The sequence below is a fragment of the Homo sapiens genome, chromosome 10 (assembly GCF_000001405.40).
Source record: "Homo sapiens chromosome 10, GRCh38.p14 Primary Assembly".
Classification (NCBI taxonomy): Eukaryota; Metazoa; Chordata; class Mammalia; order Primates; family Hominidae; genus Homo; species Homo sapiens.
Window position 1 is genome coordinate 23,907,407 of NC_000010.11, and position 20,765 is coordinate 23,928,171.

Genomic DNA, 20,765 nt, shown 5'->3' on the forward strand with positions numbered 1-20,765 from the left:
TCATACAATTATGGAGGTGGAGAAGTCCTATGATCTGCCATCTGCATGCTGGAGAACCAGGAAAGCCAGTGGTATAATTCAGTCTGAGTCAGAAGGTCTGAGAACCAGAAGAGACAATGGTCCTGGTCTGGGTCCGATAGCCCAAGTTCCTGGAGTGCTGATGTCCCAGGGCAGGAGAAGATGGATGTCCCAGCTGACACAGAGAGAGAGCGATGTGCTCTTTCTCAGCCTTTCTGTTCTATTTGGGCCCTCCACGGGTTGGACGATGCCCACATTGGTGAGGGTGATCTTTGCTCAGCCTACCGACTCAAACGTCAATGTCTTCTGAAACACCCTCACGGACACATTCAGAAATGTTTTACCAGCTACCTGGGCATCACTTAATCCAGTCAAGTTTACATAAAATTGACTCTCAGAAGGGCTGACTATGTGCCTGCTCCTCTTCTAGGCTTCCCCTATGGGGAAAAAACAATGAACAAGAAAAAACTCTCTTCTCATGGAGTTAACATTCAAGAGTAAAGGGGAAACACAGCAAAAAAAAAAAGATGTGAAGAAGAAAATTCTTCTTTGCTTGAGATGGGGGCTTGGTAGTGAAGCCATATTGGGTAATCAGATAATGAATCTCTAAAGAGTTTGCATTTGCAATGTGAGCAAATGACCGTAAGAAGACCTGAGGAGAGAGAATTCCAGGCAGAGGAAAGAGGCAAGGTGAAGGCAGATGGCAGGGAGGCAAGTGTAATTACAAGAGCCCGTGCAGCTAGAGCTGAGGCAATGGCAATGACACAAGTAGAGTGAAGGGAAGGTGGTCAGGACTGGGTCATGTAGGGGTATCTGATGCTAAGGAATTTGGATGGAAGAGTCTATGGATGTATTGTTTTTTTTCAAATCTTTTCCATAATTTGGATTTCATCCTCTTAGCTATGCGTCCTCCAGTTTCCAGGCTAATACTTTCCCCTTCAGAACTGGTGCTCTCAATCCCCAGTGGGCAATGGCATCACTGTCTCCTCATGTTCTTCCCACCTCTTGGACTGCTCTTTCTCTGCTTCTTCACTGACTCTTGTTCCTCGGCTCACCCCTTAGGTGTTCGCATGCCCAGATACAACCCTCAACTGTTTACTTTCTCTTGGTACCCTCTCTGGGTGACTGCCTTTGAGTCATGGCTTCTTTTCTAATAGTTCTCCAACCCAGCCCTGAGGTCTCAGCTGAACTCACAGTCCAGCAGGACATCTCCCCTGAGTGATGTCTAGTCTCTTCAGTGTCAACATTTTCAATATCTCCCTATGCACAATGCAGTACCACCTTACTCCTGCAAGAATGGCCTAATCAAAAAATCAAAAAATAATAGATGTTGGCATGCATGCGGTGAACAGGGAACACTTCTACACTGTTGGTAAAACCACTATGGAAAACAGTGTGGAGATTCCTTAAAGAACTAAAAGTGGAGTAGAACTACCATTTGATCCAGCAATCCCGTTACTGGGTGTATACCTTGAGGAAAAGAAGACATTATACAAAGAAGATGCACAATTGCAAAAATGTGGAAACAACCCAAATGCCCATCAATCAACGAGTGGATAAAGAAACATATATATAGAAAGAGGAATACTACTCAGCCATAAAAAGGAATAAATTAATGGCATTCACAGCAACCTGGCTGAGACTGGATACTATTATTCTAAGCAAAGTAACTCAGGAATGGTAACCAAAACATCATACGTTCTCACTTGTAAGTGGGAGCAAAGCTATGAGGATTCAAAGGCATAAGAATGACACAATGGACTTTGCAGACTCAGGGGGAAATGGTGGGAAGGGGATGAGGGATAAAAGACTACAAATTGGGTGCAGTGTATACTGCTCAGGTAATGGGTACACCAGAATCTCACAAAACACCACTAAATAACTTACTAATGTAACCAAACACCACCTGTTCCCCAATAACCATTGGAAATAAAAAAAATTAAAAAATAATAAAAATAAATTAAAAAAAGAAAAACTAACTGTTGGGTGCTATGCTGACTATCTTGGTGACGAAATTACTCATATTCCAAGCCTCAGCATCATGCAATATACTCATGTAATAAACCTAAATGCATACCTTCCGAATCTAAAACAAAAGTTGAAATTATAAAAAAAAGAAAAATGAAAGTCGTATAGAAAAGAAAGCTAAGGGAATGATGGTTTCCAGCTTCATCCATGTCCCTGCAAAGGATATGAACTCATCTTTTTTTATGGCTGCATAGTATTCCATGGTGTATATGTGCCACATTTTCTTTATCCAGTCTATCATTGATGAGCATTTGGGCTGGTTCCAAGTCTTTGCTATTGTGAACAGTGCCGCAATAAACATATGTGTGCATGTGTCCTTATAGTAGGATGATTTATAATCCTTTGGGTATATACCCAGTAATGGGATTGCTGGGCCAAATGGTATTGCTAGTTCCAGATCCTTGAGGAATCCCCACACCTTATCTTCCAGAATGGTTGAACTAATTTACACTGCCACCAACAGCGTAAAAGCATTCCTATTTCTCTGCATCCTCTCCAGCATCTGTCGTTTCCTGACTTTTGAATGATCGCCATTCTAACTGGCATGAGATGGTATCTCATTGTGGTTTTGATTTGCGTTTCTCTAATGACCATTGACAGAAAACCAAACACCGCGTGTTCTCACTCATAAGTGGGAGTTGAACAATGAGAACACGTGGACACAGGGAGGGGAACATCACACACGGGGGCCTGTCAGGGGCGTGGGGGCTGGGGAAGGATAGCATTAGGAGAAATACCTGATGTAGATGATGGGTTGATGGGTGCAACAAACTACCGTGGCACGTGTATACCTATGTAAAAAAACTTGCACATTCTGCACGTGTACCCCAGAACTTAAAGTATAAAAAAAAAAGAAAAGAAAAGAAAGCTAAGGGAAAAAGTAGATAAGCGATTTCAAAATCTCAAGTAAAATGGCCTTCTGAAGAAGCAGAAAAAGTGGGAATTTCTCAATAGGAAGAGAAGGACAGGAGGACTCCCAAGGAAACCTCTGCATGGCTCTGACTAGATTGTGTACAACGGGTCCAGCTGCATCCCTGGCTGCAGCTGCCACTGTTTGTCAGGCAAAGGCAAGTGATTCTCCCTAACCTAGGAGAGACTTCCCTTAAGAACAGGACTCTCAGTTAAGTGAAAAGAAATAAAATACTCTGAGCCAGAAAATTAAATCCTGGGTGAGGAAACTCAAGTTGTGATGAATGTCAAGGAAGATGGAGACAGCCTGCAGCTGTTTTCTTTTAGTAGGACGTTAGGTGTAAGCTGGTTCATCCATTCGACTGTTATGAACAGCCGCAGACCTGAGGGCTGATTTCTGATGGGGATGTCTGGCCCCGTAACACATAAACAAGCTGGCCAAGAGGGAAATCAAACCCCAGGGTCCACTCTTAGCAGCAAAATGCTCAAATCAGATGGATCCACTTGGTGGGTTTGAAAATGATGGGCTTCAAGGCTCCTCCAAGGATCTACTGATCTGCACCCATTCAGGAGTAGAGTCAGCAATGGCCATACCCTGGAATTGCAGGGATTAAGGATGACTGCCTATCCCCCATCTCTAACTCAATTTGGATGCCACCAACACTTAATGTCTACAATGTGCCAGATGGCGAGTCAAGTTCTAGCATGTATTATTTCATTTAATCTGTATAAATATTCTAGGATGCAGGTATCACTATCCCAATTTTAAAGGCTAAAATATTAAAGTTAGAAGAAGTAACTGGCCCCAGACCATGTCTCTGCTAAGTCCAAAGCCAGGATTCAAGTCACTGGGCCCCAAATTCAGAGATATTTATTTGCAAAGCCTTGGCACTGTCTACAAGGCACTAGGACTGGCCTTATTTACTGTCTGCCTCCAGGCCCTTTATCCCTTTGAGATACTAGGATACCACCCAAAACAACCTCACTTCTCCACATATACCCCGTAGGGGCTTTGAATTAGAAATGTTTTCATCATTGACAGCTTCAAGCCTTCTGTCTTTGAAATGCAAGCAATTTCCCCTTCTCACTTTACCATCACATATGAGAATAGATGCTATACGAAGGACATGTTTTTTATGTATGTGTGTGTGTGCACACATGCATTTGTGTGTTGATAGCATTTTTGTTTCTCTGCCAAGCCATTCTCTTTCCTTACCCAATTCCCAAATGAAAAATACCTAAATAAAGTTTGAAGAAGGAAAATGTATTTATTATATATGTATTTGGCAAAACTGGACTGGCATCACCCAGTGGTTTAGCAAAGCATTTGATGCAGCTGGCCTTGCCTTTTTTCAAGGTTGAATGTCTAGGCATGTAATTTATTATTATTCCATTAAGATGGCCGAGGACATGTGATGCCTTCAACTCTTCCTTCTGTATGGAGCGGTGCTTTGCAATCAGTAGGCAGGTGAGATGAGAGTTCCTTGTCAAGAACCCCATGGCTCTGTGCTGGTATGAGTTGAGTTGTGATAGCACTGATTATTTCAGATAATGATGAACAATAGGCAGGATGAGTACAAATCATACCCTCCACTACAGGCCTGTGGCATCAGCGTAGGAGGCAGCCACTTAGCTTACTAGGAGGTGTAGCTCGTTGACATGCACCCCTTCTCTTCCTCCTCTTCCATTTAGTGGTTCCTGGATGCTGTTATCCAATAACAGAAATAAAGTCTCCTGGCTCCCCAGTTTTGAGGAGAACTTTAAGTGCAATTGCCCCTGAGGGAAGTAAAACATTGACCTAAACTGACATTGAGGCAAAGGTTTCCAGTGGATTAGGCCTCCAATTCTTAGCCTTCTAGAGCTGTTGTCTACTCAGATTTAAATGAGCATTTAATATAGTCCATTAAAAGTCTGGAAGCAGCAAAAATAACAGTTGGGAGGCTCAAAGGTAAATGTTGTGGCTCCATTTGTTTATTTTTTTAGAACTTTTTTTTTTTGGTTTGGGGTTATACGTGCATGTTTGTTATATAATTGCGTAGTGGTAAGTCTGGGCTTTTGGTGTACCCATCATCTAAATAGCGAACATTGTACCCAAGAGGTACTTTTTCAACCCTCACCCCTCTCCTACTTTTTCCCCTTTTTGAGTCCCCAGTGTCTGTTATTACTTTGTGTCCATGTGTACCCATTGTTTAGCTCCCACTTACAAGTAAGAACACACAGTATTTGATTTTCTGTTTCTCAGTTAATTCACTTAAAATAATGGCCTCAAGCTCCATCCACATTGCTGCAAAAGACATGATTTCATTCTTTTTATGGCTGCATAGTATTCTATGGTGTTGTGTTTCTATGTGTGTGTTTCAAAGGTAAAATTTTAAGACAGTGTGAAATAAAATAATCATTTGCCTTTCAATGAGATTGAAAGAATGAAACACACATTCCTGTGAAAAGAATTTGAGAACCAGAGTAAGAGTGGGAGGAAACGGAGAGCAATCATTTAGACACTGGCTGCAGGAGGGGACCACAATGCTGACTGTCTTAGCTTCACTTCACTGTCCTTTGTAAAAGCAGTGCCACAGTCTAGGCTTGCTTTGGCTAGTCTGTCACTGACGTTTTTCTCAGCCTGTCAGTTTCTCTTCTGAGTTGTCTATGTAGCACCCAACACAGCATCTCTAGCAGGAGGAAAACCATGTTATTTCCTTCATTTAACCTTAAGAACAAAGGTCACCCTGCGGGTAACTTGTCTTCTACTAAGACAGCCTGTGAGTTTACAGTGACGTGTGACAGCCAGCCAAAAGTCTTAATGGAGACCTTGCTTTGACTGAGCAGAATTCCCCCAGGGGCTGCATTAGCCTCCCAGACTGCAGGGCACAGGCAGTTCTGGGGATTCTCTGGGTCAGTGATAAAGAAGTTGTCATACTGAATCAATCCCAGAGCACAGACAGCCGATGAAGTACATGAGTTTATATTGGCAATAAAGGCGACAAAGGCTATCATAGTTTACCGTGTTGTTTTTTTGTTTCTGTTTTTGTTTTTTACTAAGTGCTTTTCTGTTCCAAAAAAAAAAAAGTAAAAGATGCTCTCCTTTTTTGTCTTACCTCTGCACCCCACAACTTGCCTTATTAACGTGCATGGGGGTCTGTGGATTTTTTGGAGATGAAAGCAAGGGGGAGTGAGAAGTGTATAATAAGAATGATTGAATTAGAGGACCGGGGCTAGAATGGAGGGGTAAGTGAGGGGTGCCCAAAGGCTACAGAATATCCTGGGTTGTTGGGGCACCAGGCAGGCTGCTGGAGAAATGTCTGGTTCTAAAATAGCACTGTCCCTCTCGATTGGCATGTACCCTAAGAGAGAAAAAACATCAGCCAGATTCTCCACATAGACTAATAAAAATATGACTTGTTCTCTCCCTTTTCTCATTCTGTTTTTTACACACTGGGAAGGTGGACAATCCCATGGGGGAGTCTCTTTGGGGGTTGGGGGAGAGCAGGGAACTACTTCCTTCTCCTTCTACCTGTTGTCCTCACACAGGGAAGGCATGGCTGGCTGTTCTTATTCATTCAGCTCTTCCTCTACGTAACCAGCATGTACCTGGACCCTCCCTGGAGCCAGGTGGCTCCTAGGTGCCAGGGGTGTTGCAGAAACACAGAGGCATGCCCTGCCCTTGGGAGAAAGGGACCCAGCCTTACCATGCTGTGCTAAGTGAGAGAGGAGAGGAAACTCAACCTAGTCTGGAGGCCAAGTAAGACTGTCCAAGACAGGGGATACAGAAGCCAAGATTGGAAGGATGAGTGGGCCTTGGTCATTCTTCCAGGCAGAGGAAGACTCTTCCAGGTGGAGGAAACTCACCTTTAGAGGCAGAGTGCAGCTTACAAAGAGGGCTGCACAGGGGTGTGATGGGCCACATCTGAGGTCAGTCACCAACATGCACAATTCCACCTTTTTCCTTGACATTGGTTTAGAATACTTTTCTAAAGATAGGATCTCACTCTGTTTCCCAGGCTGGAGTGTAGTGGCACAGTCATAGCTCACTGCAGCCTCCAATTCCTGGGCTCAAGCAATCCTCCCACCTCAGCCTCCTGAGTAGCTGGGATTACAGGTGCACATCACTGCACTGGCTAATTTTTTTAATTTTTGTAGAGATAGGGGTCTTGCTGTGTTGTGCAGGCTGGTCTCAAACTCCTGGCCTCAAGTGATCCTCCCACTCTGGCCTCCCAAAGCACTGGGATTACAGGTGTGAGCCACCATGGTGGGCTGGTTCAAAATTTTAACATCAGCTGTAACCCAGCCCCGTGGCTCTATGCACATAACAGGATGCTGCAGAGTAGTGATCCTCCCTCCCCTCTTTCACTCCAGCCCAGGTTTAAGAACAGTGTAAATACCGGTGCAACACCCAGTGCTTAGGTCCATGGCAATTCTCCTTTTCAGTTAAGTTCATCCCCCAAAGAAGGAAATCACTGCTGGGCAAGCTGCCAGTCTTGATGTGCAACATTCACTTCCAGCTGCCTGTGGAGCAGGACTGTGGACATTTGTAGATGCTGGGATGCTCAAGGGAGATTTTGGGTGAGTAGATGTAGGTTTGAGAGTCACTAGATCTATTGATTTATTGAAGAAATAAGATCTATCTGCAGGAATGCCTAGAGTGAGAAGAAAAGAAATTATAGACCCGACCTGTGACAGAAGAAAGAGAACCCTACAAGAAATAAGAAAAGAAAAAAGAAGAGGGAAGAAAGGAAAGAAAGGAGGAAAGGAAGGAAGAAAGGGGTGAGGAAGACAGAAAAAGATCAAGGGGAGGTTGAAAATGACAAACATGAAATTGCTCAGAAACAGAACAAGCGGTCAATGCTACAAAGAGGTCATGTAGCTAAGAAAAAAGAAGAGGTCCTTGGATTTAGAAATAATTGGATCTTTAGCAACCTTGGCAAAGGCAGTTGCAGCGGTTGTCATGAGCTGAGATGTAGATGGGAAAACAAGAGTTTACCAGTGAGGGAGATGTGGGGGGGAGGGAAGTCGTGGATGTTTCATACAGGCTTTTTGTTATTGTTATTGTTTTAATATTGTAGAGATTTGGATATGGTAAAATGCTATTAGGAATAGAAAAAGGAGATGAGGGGAAAACTGATGAAATCCAAATAAAGTGTGGTGTTTAGTTCACAGTATTCTACCAACATTGTTTCCTTAATTTGGGCTGATACACCAAGGTAATGTACCAAGATACCATGTGCATGCTAGGGAAAGATGGGTAAGGGTATATAGAAATTCTCTGTACTATTTCTGCAACTTTTCTGGAAATCTATAGCTATTCCAAAACAAAGGGTTTACTTTAAAATCAGTTATTGGGAAGGTGCTTCTAGAGATGGAATGGTAACCTAGGGCAGAGAAAGGTGCAAGACTGGCAGGAAGGCAGGGCCGATGACCAGACCCAGGAGGAAAGTTTGGGCAGAGAGGAATACCTTTGTAGAATTGCCTGTGGGAAGTTCAAAGCCAGCTCGTAGACAGTATCTGCTTTCTCTGTCAAGGAGAAGGTCCTATCATTGGTTAATATGGGGGAAGGGAGAAGCACAAGATTTAGGAGGTGGAAATTCTTTTAAAAACCGTGTTATAATGGCAGGGAAAGAATACCTAGGGCAATGCTTAAGAATGTCAGAATGCCAAGGATGGGCTTTTAGGTACTTTCTTGGCTGCCAGTTATCAATATTCTATCTGTCACTTTAAAATATTCAGCCTCCGGTTGCATATGCCACAGTCCAGGTTAATACTGTCAGATTGTCTTCTTGCCCTATTCCAAGGAAAAAATTAAACTGAAAGCAGCCTTCTAGATTGACTGATGTCCAATGAGGGTGAGCTGAACTTTCAGTTGTCTAGATTTATAGTAACAGACACAGACACATCCATAAAATTCTCTAACCTCATTTCAATTACGGCTTTCAAAGGTAAGTTAAGGCCATATTTGAATTTGCACTCTATTGTTCATGCTTTGCCTGTCTTACTCTGGCTCTAAGCAAATCTTCCTCATCCTTCACAGCCCGGCTCAGTTGGTTCCTTTTCTGCAATCCCACCTCAGGCAATGTGTCTCTTCCTTCCTGGTGCATTCACACCACTTTATATCTTCTTCAACTAGAGGTAGTGTGGATCTCACTGAATTGCAGTCGCTTGCTTGTTTATTTAATGCTCTGGTAGTGCTAGATTAGAATAAATACATAGTACCTTTCAAACACTAAATATGAAAGTATTTCCTTGTAAAGGTCACTGTAAGTGGTGATTGGAGAGTTTCTTATTCATGTAGCCTACATATGCTAGCACCCAGATACATTTTATTAAAAATGTTTGGCTGGCAGGGCGCAGTGGCTAGTGTCTATAATCTCAGCACTTAGGGAGGCTGAGGCGGGCAGATCACGAGGTCAGAAGATCAAGACCACCCTGGCTAATATGGTGAAGCCCTGTCTTTAATAAAAATACAAAAATTAGCTGGATGTGGTGGCGTGTGCCTGTAATTCCAGCTACACGGGAGGCTGAGGCAGGAGAATCACTTGAAACAGGGAGTTGGAGGTTGCAGTGAGCTGAGATCGTGCCATTGCACTCCAGCTTGGTGACAGAGTGAGATTCTCTCAAAAAAAAAAAAAAAAAAAAGGTTTGTCTTAGTTTTCTTTCTATCTTTCCTCCCTTTCATTTCCTTTCCTTTCCCTCCTTTTTTCTTCTTATAGAATATAATATACACATATCAGTTGGACTACGCCAACATTTTCGTGTTTTAACATATTTTATTATGCTCCCACTTCATTTTAGTGCGTTAATGACACTCTGGTGGCTATCATGACCAAATTAAACAAGAAATGGTAGAGGAAAACTGAGATAAAGACAGCATTGCACGCAGACCTCCACTGAGTCCATATTCAGAATGGAAGTCTTGCTGAATTGCAATTTCCAAAACCATGGTCCCTCACTCAGAAGGAACCACTCTCATTTCAGTCCAGAGAGCTTCTAGGGCAGTAGGGCATCTGAGACAAGGGGATACTCAGGTTCTTACTCCTCACTCTGAAATTCTCAGATTGCTTGTTCTGTGAATACTTGGCAGCAAGCCTAGGGCCTTGTGAAAAGAGGGCAGTGGAAGAAGGAAATGGAGACTCTGGACTGATGTGGGAGCAGCGGCCACAGAGGAAGAGGTGGTGAGATGCAATAACAGATTGGAGATCTGGAGCAAGAACTCTGACTGTGCGAGTGAAAAGTGACTATAGTTTTAGTTTGGAGATGTCATTTCCCAGAGCTAGTGTGCTGCAGGCAATATGAAAGGTCAATGCAAAAGAGTCAGCCAGAGAGTTCCAGGAAGGTAACACAGGGCTCTCCCCAGCTGTCCAGACAGCTGTCGCTGACAAATGGTGTCTGTTTCTCGCTCCCACAGCACATCCTATGTGCTAAGTATGACCAGCAAGGGAAGATGAGAAACCACTCTCAATGCCTAAAGCTGTGAAGGGCCTATGACCCTTTGTCTTCCATTTAGAGAGGTATGATCACTTGAGTACTTTGCTTTAGGGTTTGTGGGATGTATTATGTATGTTCGTATAGAGAGATGTATGGAATGAACAAGACCAGTTTTAGCTTAGATGCATTTAAATAGGATTCATGTTTACAATTGAAAGGCAAGACATTTTTTATCCCACAATTTTTTTTTTAAGAGACAGGATCTTTCTCTGTCACTCAGGGTGAAGTGCAGTGGTGTGATCATGGCTCACTGCAACCTCAAAGTCCTGTGCTCAATTGATCCTCCCATGTCAGCCTCCAGAGTAGCTGGGACTTTTTTTTTTTTTTTTTTTTTAAAGAGATAGGGTCTTGCTTCATTCCCCAGGTTGTTCTCAAACTCCTGACCTCAATAAAGTGATCTTCCTGTCTTAGCCTCCTAAAGTGCTGGGATAACAGGCATGAGCCGCTGTGCCCTACCCTTATCCCACAATTCTTAGAGAAAACAAAACAAGCAAAACAAGAGGCTAATGAGAAATTGGCTCATCTCCATGTGAAAAATAAACTTTGAAACCACTAGTCACAAGTGGATCTTGTTCTGAGAATGAAGCATAACTGATGCTTGACCTGCCCTTTCGGGAAGCTGTGTTTAGCCGTGATAACCTTTGCATGCAGTCTGCTGCAGTGCTGGGTCACAGCTGAGACCCCTTGGGAATGTCACCATTCCCACGGTAGCTCCAGTAGGAAGGCTACTGTGAATGCTTGCGCTGTCATAGACCTGCTGTCGGCATCAGGCTGTTACCAGCTCCTGCTAAGACAAACACAGTGAAGTCCAGCATGTACCCAGCACTGGATGGACCATGAATAATTTCATACCCACAGATAGTGGCAATAGTGTGATCTTTAAGAATTAAATATATACACACACACACACACACACACACACACACACATATATAGTAAGTGACAATAACAGCACCCCTTTTTCCTCCCCAGTAAATCATCCAGAGAGCAAGTTTGCTGACAGCAGATGCCAAGACAATTGTCTTTGCACCTCCAGGGCTGCTACAGAGTCAGAGCCAAGTCCCTAAGCCTAATTAGATGTCTCCCCATACAAGGCTTAAACAAGCACATGGGGAAGCCAGGTCTCTGATGAGTAAAGAAAGAGAACACAGGCTATATCAGGGTCATGTGGACAGGCATTGGTCACAGATACAGATGACTCATTTTCAGTCTGAGATGTTGAAAGAAATGGAAATGACTCCCCCATCTCCCAACCTCCAGCCCCACATTCAGTGTCTATTGTCATTGGTTTGGGTCTGTCTGGGTGAAGGCTTATCTCATCAGAGAGGAATCTGAGAGTCTCTAATAAGGAAGGTGGCAAATGTCAAGTGTTAGGTGTGCATGTTTGAAGCTAGGGTCATTTTTTTTTTAAGTTATTTATTTCTCTTGGCTGCAACCAACCCCCACCCCACTAAATCTCAATTCCTCCTCTAAACCCCTAATCATCGACTGGGTGCAGTGGGTCACCCCTGTAATCCCAGCACTTTGGGAGGCCGAGGCAGGTGGATCACCTGAGGTCAGGAGTTCAAGACCAGCCTGGGCAACATGGTGAAACCCCATCTCTACTAAAAATACAAAAATTATCTGGGTGCAGTGGCATGTGTCTGTAATCCCAGCTACTCGGGAGGCTGCGGAAGGAGAATTGCTTGAGCCCGTGAGGCAGAGATTGCAGTAGGTCGATATTGTGCCACTGCACTCCAGCCTGGGCGACAAAGCAAGACTCCTTCTCTAAAAAAAAAAAAAAAAAAAAAAAAAGGCTCTGCAGATTCATTTACTCATTCATTCATTCATTCAACAATATTCATTCATACATGCCAAGTGTGCAGGCACTGTCTTATGCTCTGGGAGCAGATGACAGTGTTCATTAACACAAGGCTTTAGTTCCAAACCCTATTCTTTCGGTGCTACCCAAAGAGAGCTGACCTGAATCTAGAGGAGCCTCTTCAACTAGAACGACTGCAAAATTCTGCCCCATGACACCTTTCTCCTTGGCCACCTAGTTCCTTCCTTCCTGACCTTCTCCAGGACACAGTACTTGCTTGAACTTGTTGACATCTCAGACACAATTTTTACAGGGCACAATCCAGAAAGAGAGGGCTTCCAAGAAATGCCAATCCCAGGGTCAGTCCTCCAAGAGAAGATTCCAGAATGGGTGACTTAAAGAGGCTTTGTCATGTGGACTCTGAAGTCATTGACCCTTTGCTCCACACCCAGCTACTCAAGGACAAAATGTCCTCAGCTTTGACCCTCTTCTGCAACACAGTGACATTTAGGTTTTTTTGTTTGTTTGTTTGTTTTTGTTTTTGTTTTTGTTTTTCTTGCCCAGCACACCTTAAGGAGGACTCAGGTAAAAGGAGAGGGACTAGAAGCCCTTTTGTAGGGTTTCATTTGTGACCATGGAGATCCAGCTTCAGAGGTAGACATCGGACACTTTTGCTTTAGTCTCTGGTCATCCACTTTTAGCTTCTCTGTCCTTTCTTTTGGTAAGGTCGCTGACTGGCTAGATTGATTAAAGTGTATTCTATTTCTGGACTGATAAAATTTTGTTTTGAAGGCAACCTGAGCTTTTTGGGTGGACATAGGATTCACTGGTCTCCTTGAGGTCTTTCAGGTTAATGACTTGTGGTGCGTCATCAGATCACATTAGACTTGGCCTTAGAATGATTAGATACCAAGCTTATAAGAATCTTTGAAGACATTAAGGCTAATTCCTTCTTTTGTCTCTCTATTTATCTCTTAAATCCCCTCTGCCACACTCTGAGATATAGTTGTCTGACCTCCTTTTGAACAGTCAGTGACAGGGACTTCTCTGTCTCAAGATGGCCCAGTCAGTCCACTGATAGCTCTAATGGACAGAGTTCTCCTGTGATGGGAACCTGGTTTCAGCTGATATGGCCTGGCTGTGTCCCCACCCAAATCTCATCTTGAACTGTAGTTCTCATAATCCTCATGTATCATGGAAGGGACACAGTGAGAGGTAATTGAATCATGAGGGAGGGTTTTTCACATGCTGTTCTTGTGATAGAGAATAAGTCTCATGATTTTATAAAGAACAGCTCCCCTGCACACACTCTCTTGCCTGCCACCATGTAAGAAGTGCCTTTGTTCCTCCTTTGCCTTCTGCCATGATTGTGAAGCCTCCCTAGCTATGTGGAACTGTGAGTCCATTATACCTCTTTTTCTTTATAAATTACGAAGTCTCAGGTGTTTCTTCATTGCAGTGTGAAAATGGACTAATACACAGCTTATATTAAACTTTTTGTTTGTTTTAAAGTCAAAACATCACTCTCTTTATATAGAACCATTTCAACAACTGGCAAATTTGTCTCTGGTGAAGTGCATATGTTGGGATTTCTATACCCAATAGAAAATGAATGATTTCTCTTAGGGATTTGGTCAGGGACACAGAACACCCCTTTCCTGCAGCTGGAGCTCAAAACAGACAACTGTGGGCTCATTGAAGTCCTATTTTCTGATCCAGTGAGAAGATTCCATCAGAGAGAGAACTTGTGTTTTCCTGACTCCATCTGCTTGAATAATTTAGCTTAAGATTCCAGCACATTGTTGTCACTTCCTTCTCTCATGGTTGGTGTTGCCTATCCTCTCTTGTACTGATATTTTAGGGCCAGTGCAAGGCCATATTTCTTAAGCTTCACCAAATATTTCTTAAGCTTTGCCAGGGAAATGAGAATCCAATCAGTAGAAGGCTCAAATAGCCTCTGTTCAAAATGTGTGATACTTTGAGCTGGGGGCTGAGCATGTTATTCTTTCTGCAGGCCCATGAGTTTCTTCGGGGAGGGTGTTCAGGGATGAGCAGGTGCACCCCCCTGGCTGTTTGGTTGCAGGTTAGTGCCCATTGTCTTTTCAGAACAGAAGCCCCATGAACATGGTTCATAGTTAACCACTCCTAGCATTATTAGCAAAACAGTGCTGTTTGCCAGGTTGTGGCTGTGTGGACTTGTAACATAATAAGAAATATATATTTGGTCTTCATCTCTTGTTCCTGACACAAGAGCTTGTAAGACCCTTGGAATCCTAGTAGTGATAAATGTGTCTTTTTGTGTGCTAATGGATGATTGGTGGCTGGGGCTCCTAGATAGCTTCAGGATGGGAGTTGCAGTTGCCAGAGGTACCAGCCATGTGATGAGAGTGTCAGAACTTTCACCCCCCACCCCCCACCAACAGCCTCCTGGGAGCAGAGAGTGGCTGGAGATGGCCAATAATTTAATCAATCATGACTACATAATGCAACCTCTGGCCAATAATTTAATCAATCATGCCTGCATAATGCAACCTCTGTAGAAACCCTAAAAGAAGGGGTTCAGAGAGCTTTCAGGTTGGTGAACAAGTGGAAGTACCAGAAAGGTGGCATCCCCAGAGAGGGTATAAAAATCTCTGCACCAGCTCTCATACCTTGACCTCCATACCTCCTCATCTGACCGTTCATTTGTATCCTTTATAATATCTTTTCTAATAAACCAGTAAATGTAAGTAAAGTGTTTCCCTGAGTTCTGAGAGCTGTTATAGGAAATTATCTAACCTGAGAAGGGGGTTATGGGAATTCTCATTTGGTAATCAAGTCAGACCTAAGTCTGGGTGACATGGGGACCCTCTCTTTGGAATTGGCATCTGAAGTGGGAACAGTCTTGGGGGACTGAACCCTTAACCTGTGGGGTCTGTGCTAACTCAGGTAGTTAGTGTTAGAATGAAACTAAATTGTAGGTCACCCAGTTGGTGTCTACAGAGAACAGGAGAACTCCTGGGTATGGAAAATCCACACATTTGGTGTCAGAAGTGTAGTGAGCATAGAAAAACAATTTCCTTTTTAATGTCTTTGACTCAAGAGTGGAGAACATTAGAATTCAGCAGATCTTGAAGATTATAAGGGGGATGCTTTTAATGACAGAAAATGTTGCTAAGGAACATGGCGGCCTGAAATAAGGTAAAGGAAAACCTATCCAGAACTAGGCACACCAGCTACAAACAAAGGAAAGGATGATATAATACTTAAAAACAAACCAAAACAAAACCTAGTTTTGATGCATATTGTAAGGTAAACCAAGAAAGACTTTTATTTTATTTTAATAGTTTTGGGGGAACAGATGGTGTTTAGTTACATGGATAAGTTCTTTAGTGGTGAGTTCTGAGATTTTGGCACACCTGTCACCCAAGCAGGGTACACTGTACCCAATATGTAGTCTTTTATCCTTCACCCCACTCCCAGCCTTCCCCCCGAGTCCCCAAAGTCCATTGTATCATTCTTATGCCTTTGCATCCTCATAGCATAGCTCCCACATGTCAGTGAGAACATACAATGTTTGGGTTTCCATTCCTGAGTTACTTCACTTAGAATAACGGTCACCGGTTCCATCCAGGGTATTTAGGCTCGTTCCATATTTTTGCAATTGCAAATTGTGCTGTTATAAACATGTGTGTACAAGTGTCCCAAGAAAGACCTTTTAAAATAAGAACTCTGTGCTCCGAATGGTGAGAAAGTCACACTGTGGTAGGGTGGATAATGGCCCCTCAAAGATGCCTACATCCTTATATGGCAAAGGGAACTTTGCAGCTGTGTTTAAATGAGGGGTTTTGAGATGGGGAGATGGTCCTGGATTATCTGGGTGGGCCCTAAATGTGATCACAGGCATCTTTGTAAGAGGTGGCAGAAGGAGATTTGACTACACACAGGATAGGGTGATGGAATGACAGAAGCAGAGATGGAGAGATGTGTCGGAAGAAGGAGGAAGGGGTTGCAAGCCACAACAACAGGTCACCACTAAAAGCTTAAAAAGGCAAGGAAATGGTTTCTCCCCCTGGAGCTCACAGCAGTAACCAGCCTTGCTGACACCTTGACTCTAGCCCAGTGAAACTGACTTCAGACGTCTGACCTCCAGAACTGTAAGGGAACAAATCTGAGTGGTTTTTTGTTTGTTTTTGTTTTTTAAATTTGAGTATATTTAATTTATTGAAAATTTTAAATTGGATATTATTTGTTGCTTTTATTTCCAATGGCAGTGGCATTTGGAAGTGAAATTTAAAATGTAGGATTAGGAAGTAGCTTTCACGTTTACCTTTATTTTTTGCAAATACCTATTCATATACATAGATTTTCAACTATGTTTTCATAGGATTTAATGGAAATTGTCAAAAATGTCTCAAGATAATTATGATTTTTAAATGTTATATTTAGAATTACTGATCAATTTATGATCAAAACTGCAAACAATAATTGTAAATATTTTGAAGTTGGTGATACTGTATTTTTCCCCACTATTTGCTACTCTGATTCTTTTTTTTTTTTTTTACTTTAAGTTCTAGGATACATGTGCAAGCCACTGTGTTTGGGGTAATTTGTGGCGGCAGCAATGGGAAACTAAGATAACTGTCTTTACTTTTTAAAGTAATTAGAGGAAAGTTGATGAAAATCTTGGAGACTGATCAAAGGAAACTACAATATAACTACCAGAATGACCAAAGAACAAATGAAAAAGTCTAATCATGAAAATGAGGTGTGGAAGTGAATTTTAAGTCTTCTCTATAAGAAGAAAATGTAGGATTTTTAAATGCCTCTATAGTGTAAGAGGAAGATGTAAAGATGATACCGATTTTGTGACAAAATGAGAGCAGTAGAGTCTGAGTTATTTTAGAAGTAGTGACCTTAAGGTCACCTTATTTGTCCTGTCAGATGAGCAAAATTAGACATAGAGAACTCAAGGAAACGTTCAAAGTCAGACAGTAGGACCATAGCGAGCTGGGACCACACCTTGCTTCCTGCCTCCAAATTTCATGCCTCCAGCGCTTTTTCTCCTACTCCAGGATTAAAAAGTTTGCAAATAATCTGTATGAAAAAGAAAAGTGGTGCAGATGATTCAATTGCACCTCAGTAACAGGCCTATATCCAGTCTCCTTTATGACACTGTTTCTGAGTCTGAACAAGGGAGCAGGAAGACATTACTGAAATTTGCAAATGCTATTAAACTAGGATGTGGCGTTAGCTGTTATGGAAAAAAAAATAATGAATTTAGAAATATTCTTAAATTTTAGAAATTTTTAAAAGTAGATTTACTTAGAGAAAACTTAAAAAAAAATCCAGTAGCCAAAATAGCATTATTTTGAGAGATCTGGAAACTTGGCCTGTTTTTCCCATTGTACAGAAAGGAAAATGTCTTTGAGGTGAAATATCCCAAATTTTTAGTCCCAAAAGTGTTCATATTACTTAGAAATGTGGAAGAAGAAGATGGAGAAGGAGGAGAGGAAGCAAGACAGAAGGAAGATAGATAGGGAAAGAAGGAGAAGGAGGAGGAAAAACAGCAGCAATGTCAGTAGAAGCAGAAGGAAAAAGATAAGGAAACAACTTACAAAGGCTGGCAATTTCTTGCTTTCCTTCTTCTCTTTCAGCATACATAGGCATGCCCCTGATCAACAAATATTTACTAAGCCAGTGCCAGGCCCTGGGTTAGGCACTAGAGAGGCATCAGGAAATAAAACTCCCGGAGCTTCATTCTAGTGGAGAGACATGAAAGAAATTATAGATATATTAAGGGCCGATACATACTAAGTCCTGCCTTCTGCCCTCAACCCACCTCCTCTCTGCATTCTGCAAGGATCAGTCTCTTTTGACTGTCGCTGGACTTTTCCAACTCGTTTAATACATTTCCAAGCTTTTGAAAGACTTTTCTGAGTGAATTGCAGCTTAACAAAGTTCACTTTTATGCTGTGTTCCATGTTTCGAAGGCAGAGGCATCAGTTTTCCCTGAGCCTTTAATCATCCTTCAGGACTTGCCATCTCAGAATGAGGTGCTGCCCTTCTGTGATCATGGAGGGAAGAAGTGGAACACGCCCTAAGTGACTGTAGACAGACTGGATTCATTTCTGGTCCCTGTCTCTTTCCAGCTCTGTGGCCTTAAGCAAGTAAATGAATTCCTACAAGCTTAGGGTCTGGGATCCAAAGAGGCCCAATAAAATAATACTCCTCTTTTCTGCAGGAGTTTTGATCAGCTGAGAATTGATGCAAAGTAGTAAAGCAAATGGGTGTCAAAACAGCACCTGTATTCTGAGTCAAAGGGAATCTGGCTTATATATGAAGGCCAATAAACTTTCTCATACTGGATTTCAAAATGCGCATACTTACCCACACCCCATCACTGTGGTCCTCGATCCAGGCAGACCTCCCCATACTGAGGCAGAGACTGCACCTGGCAAAGCAGCTGTGAAAATCAGCTCAGGTGCATTGGTCCTCAGGAAAAAGAAGGAAGAAGGGGAATCTACACAGGCTCAGTATCTCCTCCCTGTTCCTTAATTAGATTCAGTCAGTTCTCCCACCCAGGGCCGGGATGGGTGGAGGGGGCTGGGAAAAAATAAAATACAGGGGCAGAAGTGTAGCCACTTAATTTCTCTGCATACAAAAGGAGGCAACAGAAGTCAAGAAAAGTCTAATACTTGAGTTTCTTGTCTTTGAAACAGGATTAATACACATCTCATATGAAAATGATGACCATGCTAAGAATGATAGAGAATGCTGTCAATATTTCCATATGAGATGTGCATTAGTCCTGTTTCAAAGGTAGGCCCGGAGCAGTGGCTCACGCCTGTAATCCCAACACTTTGGGAGGGCGACGTGAGTGGATCACCTGAGGTCAGGAGTTCAAGACCAGCCTGACCAACATGGTGAAGCCCCGTCTCTACTAAAAATACATAAATTAGCTGGGCGTGGTGGCAGGCGCCTGTAATCCCAGCTACTCAGGAGGCTGAGGCAGGAGAATTGCTTGAACCCGGGAGGCGGAGGTTGCAGTGAGCTGAGATCATGCCATTGCACTCCAGCCTGGGTGACAGAGCAAGATTCTGTCTCAAAAATAAATAAATAAATAAATAAATAAATAAATAAAGTGCCTGGAAAATTGTTACCTGCTTGCCTCCCTTCCTCCCTCTTTTCTTCCTCCCTCTTTTCGATCCTTCAATCTTTATCTCTCTTCCTCTGTGTTTAGAGAAAGTTATTTGAGACAGCAGTCTATCCTATTTATTTATCTGTTTATTTATTTATTCTTTTTTTGAGACAGGGTTTCACTTTGTTGCCCAGCCTGGAGTGCAGTCACGTGATCTGGGCTCACTGCAGCCTCGACTTCCCAGGTTCAAGCAATCCTCCCACCTCAGCCTCCCGAGTACCTGGATCCACAGGCATGTACCACCATGCCTGGCTAATTTTTGTATTTTTTGTAGAGACAGATTTTCTGATGTTGTCCAGGCTGATCTTGAACTTCTGATCTCAAGTGATCCTCCCACCTCAGCCTCCCAAAGTGCTGGGATCCTATTTATAAATTGCTATGCTGGGATCCCAAAGTGCCTGGTCTATCTTATTTATTTTAACTGCCTGAAAATTTTTACTATAAGTTATTTCTGTTCCAGCAGTAGTTCCATTTTCTCTCACAAGGCTCACCCTAGCAAGTCATAGGGTGTGTGTGTGTGTGTGTGTGTGTGTGTGTGTGTGGCCAAATGTTTTCTATACATTGAGGTTCTCCTCTTGCATTACCACTGATCATTATTCTATTTAAAGTGTAACGTGAAAATATTATGAGAATTAGTGCCACACAAAACTAGTAGTAAATCAGAGGTAGATTTTGAAGGATCAAAATCAAATTTTATTTTCCTGTGAGAGAAGGATGACATGCTGTGAGATGCTCATATGTGATTGAAAGTGATTATGTGAGCTCATGAAAGTAGAATCTTAAGGAAGACAAAATGGTGATGCACTAGGCTTTTGGTTATATATTTTCAGGATGAGATTTATAAACCCTCTGTCCTTTCCCAGAATAAATGCTTCTGAATGTTTTCTTGCTTTGAGCTCCCTGAATGTCACCTGGTTTCCGTGTTGGGGGTTCTGCAGCAGATTCCCATATAAACAGATGTGCTATTCAGGCCTCCGGAGACAGTAAGATTCTTTTTCAGGCTTACTTCTGAAACTAGTGCGCGATAAACCAAATGTCACATTGAACATAAGACTTGGGAGGAAATACACATATAAAACAGCTAATTAAATGGAAAAAATGGTAATCATAAGCTTGCCTAATTCAATCACTGAAGGACTTGTGCTGTTAAACTTTAGGCCAGATGCAGTAACTCGTCCACCCAGCAGACCAGCATCATGGGCTGCTGGCAGGGTACTTGATATCTGTTAAAAAGCATAGCTTAAAAGAAACAATGGCTAAGCTGTCTACCTCTGTAGGCTTGGCTGGCTTTTGCCTAATCATCAAGCATTTCAGTCCCTCTTTGAGACATTGTGCTTGTGTATTTCACAAGGA

General features: G+C 42.6%; 1 protein-coding gene across 1 annotated transcript in view, besides 2 other annotated features; it reads left to right on the forward strand.

The window, feature by feature from the left end:
• Nucleotides 1–20,765, forward strand: part of KIAA1217 — an 853,117-nt gene that overhangs the window by 212,680 nt on the left and 619,672 nt on the right. The window lies entirely within an intron of this gene.
• Nucleotides 10,708–11,603: an enhancer, noted in NCBI's record as "H3K27ac hESC enhancer chr10:24207043-24207938 (GRCh37/hg19 assembly coordinates)". NCBI's record gives its function as "activates a minimal SCP1, AML or CMV promoter by ChIP-STARR-seq in naive H9 embryonic stem cells {active_cell/tissue: H9 hESC(naive)}" and the evidence as "EXISTENCE:reporter gene assay evidence [ECO:0000049][PMID:30033119]".
• Nucleotides 11,604–12,497: an enhancer, noted in NCBI's record as "H3K27ac hESC enhancer chr10:24207939-24208832 (GRCh37/hg19 assembly coordinates)". NCBI's record gives its function as "activates a minimal SCP1, AML or CMV promoter by ChIP-STARR-seq in naive H9 embryonic stem cells {active_cell/tissue: H9 hESC(naive)}" and the evidence as "EXISTENCE:reporter gene assay evidence [ECO:0000049][PMID:30033119]".